At 46.5% G+C, this 4,869-nt stretch overlaps 1 annotated feature.

The window, feature by feature from the left end:
• Positions 73-182: an enhancer, noted in NCBI's record as "active region_17833". NCBI's record gives its function as "activates an Ori minimal core promoter by ATAC-STARR-seq in GM12878 lymphoblastoid cells {active_cell/tissue: GM12878}" and the evidence as "EXISTENCE:reporter gene assay evidence [ECO:0000049][PMID:35858748]".

Below are 4,869 nucleotides of genomic sequence, written 5' to 3'. Positions count from 1 at the left end.
ACGCGCACTGAGCAACCAACCGGCTCTGTTCCGCCCGCGTTGCCAGGTTTCTGGGTGAGGCACCGCTGGGTTTTGTCGACTTTTGTCCCTGTTCTGTGGGTTCGAGCTGGACAAAGAGGTTTGGGGAAATGAAATCTAGAGCTTGTCAATTCTTTAAGCTCCTATATCACTCAGCTCGTTTCAGCAACATTTTTGTTTAATTAAAAAGAAAACAAAAGAAATTACTTCTCGGGGCTGGGCACGGTGGCTCACGCCTGTAATCCCAGCACTTTGGGAGGCCGAGGCGGACGGATCACTTGAGGTCAGGAGTTCGAGACCAGCCTGGTCAACATGGTGAAACCCCGTCTCTACCAAAAATACAAAAATTAGCCGGGCGTGGTGGCGGGCGCCTGTAATCCCAGCTGCTTGGGAGGCTGAGGCAAGAGAATCTCTTGAATCCCGGGAGGCAGAAGTTGCAGTGAGCCGAGATCGCGCCACTGCACTCCAGCCTGGGCGACAGAATGAGACTCTTCCTCAAAAAAAAAAAAAAAAAAAAAAAAAAGTTACTTATTCATCGCAATGGGCTGTATAGCTTGGCCCGTCTCATTGTAACAAATTCGTAAGAACTGCGCGAAACTAGATTAGAATTTTGTCCTATGCAAAGCTAAGCCATCTCCCAGAGCAGAGCACAGTCACAACTGGTAGCTGGTGAGCTAAAACGGGTGTGTAGCTGTCCTGCAAAATGTTCATCTGGATGTGTTGTCACTATTTCAAAAGTGTTTCTCACGTTCATTTCCTTAATTTTATGCCAGGTCCTGAGCTAGGAGCCTACAATGCAGAGAGGAGACAAACAGAAACACCTCTTGTAATTCAGACAGAAGCAAATCATTATAATTCATTCAAAAAGCATTCACTGAGCGCGTACTCTATGCTTTGTCCTTGTAACTGAGGACACAGTGCTAAAGCAGACACATACAGTCTCTGCCCTTGTGGTGCTTACAGTCCGTTGGAGGGAGACAGACTAATTAAATGAATGTGTAATCATATAACAGGATAAGTTTTTTGAAGGCAAAGAACAGTGTTCCATGATTAAGAAGGGGTGGGGGGCAAGTAGTAGGAGAAAAAGAAACCTAGATGAGAGTGTGATAACCAGCCTCCACCATAAACCCTGACGATTCTTGGCTCCTGATATCCATACCCCTCTGTAGTCACCTCCCACCAAGAATAAGACTGACCTGTATAACCCATAGGATATTGCGGAAATCTTGGAGCACGAGTTCCAAGATAAAGTCATAAAAGACATTGCAACTTCCTCTTTCCTCTGTCTTGATTGCTCATGGGGAATCCATGTTGTGAAGACACTCAAGCAGTCCTATGGAGAGGCTCGCATGGGGAGTAACTGAGCTGCCTGCCAACAACCAGCTCCAACTTGCCAGCCATGTGTATGAGCCAAGTGGCTCCAGCAGTCCTAGTCAAGCTTTCAAATGACTGTGGCCTGGCCAAAATCTTCAGTGTAAACTCAAGAGCAACCTTGAGCCAGAAATACCTTGCAATGCCACTTGAATGCCTGCCTCACAGAAATTGTGAAATACTAAATGTTATTGTTTTAAGCTCCTAAGTTTTAGGATAATTGGTTATGCAGCCTAGATAACATACATAGAGGATCAAGGAACAGAGGTTAGATACCAGAGACTCCAAAAAAAAAAAAGAGAGAGAGAGAGACCTATCTTGCCCTAAAGGAATTCAGTCTCTTAGAAGACAAATAATACACTCAACATTCACTAATCCCATACTATGTGAGGTGGCATGGGGGACCCAAAATGCATAATTTATTCATTTAAAAAATATTTATGGAGTTTCTACTCTGGATCATGCACTATGAAACTGGGAAGACAATGGTGAGTAGGTGGGATCCTACCCTGACTGTGCTTATAGACTAGGGGTCAATGTCTGTCACCCCCACTAATCAATCACACAGATAAATGTACACTTAAAAACCATGAGATGTGTTGGGAAGGAAGAAGGGGGAGCCATGAGAGAAGCAATAACATGGGAGATACAATCAAAAGAGAGGTGATGAGGGAAGACGTCCATGAGATCACATTTCTGGTAAGAAATGAAGAGTGGTGGCTCACGTCTATAATCCCAGCACTTTGGGAAGCTAAGGTGGACAGATTGCTTGAGCCCAGGAGTTTGAGATCAGCCTGGGCAACATGGCGAAACCCCGTCTCTACAAAAAATACCCAAAAAATTAGCCAGGCATGGTGGTGTGCACCTGTAGTCTCAGCTACTTGAGAGGCTGAGGCAGGACAATTGCTTGAACCTAGGAGGCAGAGGTTGCAGTGAGCCGAGGTCGCACCACTGCATTCCAGCCTGGGCAACAAAGCAATACTCCATCTCAAAAAAAGAAATGAAGAATGAGGAGGACTTTGCCAGGCAAAGAGAAGGAGGAAAAAGCACGATGGGTGGTGGAAAGGCTGGGTAGTGAGAAACGGCTTGGAGCCTAAGAATAGCTGAGGGGGTGACACTGAGGCCTGCAGGGTGCAGATGTTTAGGACAGGACTTACTACTTGCCCTGGAGAGACACACTGCAGGGTGTGAGTGAGGAGAGTGTTTTCTGGGTTGAATTGTGTCCCTCCAAAAAGCTGTGTTTGAGCCGTAACCCCCAGTACCTCACAATGGGATCTTATTTGGAGATAGGAGCTTTACAAAGGTAATCAAGTTAAAATGAGAGTGTTAGGGTAGTCCCTAATCCAGTATGACTGCTGTACTTATAAAAAGGGGAAATTTTGACAGGGCGCGATGGCTCTTGCCTGTAGTCCCAGCACTTTAGGAGGCTGAGATGAGAGGATCGCTTGAGCTCAGGAGTTGGAGGCTGAAGTGAGTTATGATCGCACCTCTGCACTCCAGCCTGGGTGGTAGAGCAAGACCCTGTCTCTAAAAAAGGAAATAGTTTATTTTAAATGAGGGGGAACATGGACACAGATGCACACATAGAGAGAACGTCATGTGAAGATGAAGGCAGATATCGGGACGATGCCTCTACAGCCAAGGAACACCACAGATTGCCAGCAGGCCACCAGAAGCTAGTCAAGAGGCATGGGACAGGCTCCTCACAGCCCTCAGAAGGTGCCACTGACGCTTTGATTTCAGATTCCTAGTCCCTAGAACTGGGAAAAAGTAAATATCTGTTGTTTAAACCATTCAGTTTGTGGTCCTTTGTTAGAGCAGCCCCAGCATACTAATCCAGGTGTGCAGGTGCTTTGAAACCTGTTACTCTCTGTATCCAAATGTAAAAGATCGCCCAAGTGACTGCTGCAGGCACAATGACAGGCACAGCTACTTGCTCACTCTCTAGAAGCTCTTAGAGGCCTCCAGCTGAGTTTTGCTGTCTCTGTGCCCTGCATGGCTCCATGAGCACCACAGCACGGAGGAGAGCTTTGTGGCAGGCTTATTTCTATGCCTAATATCTATGCAAGGCACAGTGATTGCACAATGAAGAAGAAAAAGCCAAAAAAGCCGTAGCCTCTTCTCTGAAAAATATTTTCTTGGAGTCACACTTGACTGAGTGAGCCAGTTTTGTATTAATTGTAGCTGCTGTTTATTGCATATTCATATGTGTAAAGGTGCCAAGCACTTTACACGTATCAATATTCTCCCCCAGCACCCTATAAAGTAGGCATTACAGGTGAAGAAACCTAAGGCTGGAAAAGTTAAGCAGCTTCCCTAAGGCCTCGCAGAGTCTGCATGCATAACCTTTGCACTACCCAGCTGACCTGTGCATGTCAGATGAGTGTACACACATGAAAGCTCTAGGAAGAGGGGCAGGATCAGCACGCGCCGAAGTATCTAGGAAGGCCTCGTGAGGGAGGCAGCTCAATGTGGGTCCCGAATGATGGGCTGGATTTGGATGTGGAAAAGGGAAAGTAGAGGTACGACATTTGCTTTTCCACCTTCAAACCATTGCCTTTGTCGGTCTCTCTGTCTAGAATGCTGTCTTCTGGCTCTCCACAAGACAGGTTCATTCTCTTTCCATAGGGCTCAGCCCCAATACCACCCATCCTGCCTCCCTCCCTCCCTCCCTTCCTTCTTTCTTTCTTTCTCTCTTTTTTTTTTTTTTTTGTTTTTGTTTTTTGGTTTTTGGTTTTTTTTGAGACAAGGTCTCATTCTGTCTCCCAGGCTGGAGTGCAGTGGCATGATCTCAGCTCACTGCAACCTTCACCTCCCCAGCTCAAGCAATCCTTCCACCTCAGCCTCCTGAGTAGCTGGCACCACAGGCATGTGCCACCACACCCAGCTAATTTTCATATTTTTGGTAGAGATGGGGTTTTGTCACGTTAGCTAGGCTGGTCTCTAACTCCTGAGCTCAAGCGATCCACCTGCCTTGGCCTCGCAAAGTTCTGGAATTACAGGCATAAGCCACCGCACCGAGCCCCAATATCACCTTTTCAAGGCTCCACTGACCACCCTTTGCAGCTGACTGTTTATCCTAAGTGGCTGGTATTCCCCATCCCACATGCTCTTCTACCCAGTGACTGCTTTGAGCAATAGACAATTGTGGAAGAGATGCTGTGTCAGTTTCAAGCATGGTGTTGAACTGGCCTGGAAATCAGCCACCATGCAGAAAGAACAACTATCCCGAGACCACCGAGCTGTGAGAAGCTCAGGCCACATAGGGAGAAAGAGTGCAGGGAGCATCAGGCATCAGACCCAAGAGTGAAGAAGCTACCTCAGAGCGGTGGAGAGATGGATGCATGTGTGTTAAAGTAAATGTGGCAGAATGAAAGTTAAGCATAGAATCTGTTAGGTTAAGGAATGGCAAAAACCGCAATTACTTTTGTTCCAACCTAATAGATGATGGGTATAGCATTTTTTGAACAATTCTTTTGG

The sequence above is a fragment of the Homo sapiens genome, chromosome 20 (assembly GCF_000001405.40).
Source record: "Homo sapiens chromosome 20, GRCh38.p14 Primary Assembly".
NCBI lineage: Eukaryota > Metazoa > Chordata > Mammalia > Primates > Hominidae > Homo > Homo sapiens.
Note: the sequence above shows the minus strand (reverse complement) of the source record. Positions and strands in the feature narration are given on the sequence as shown.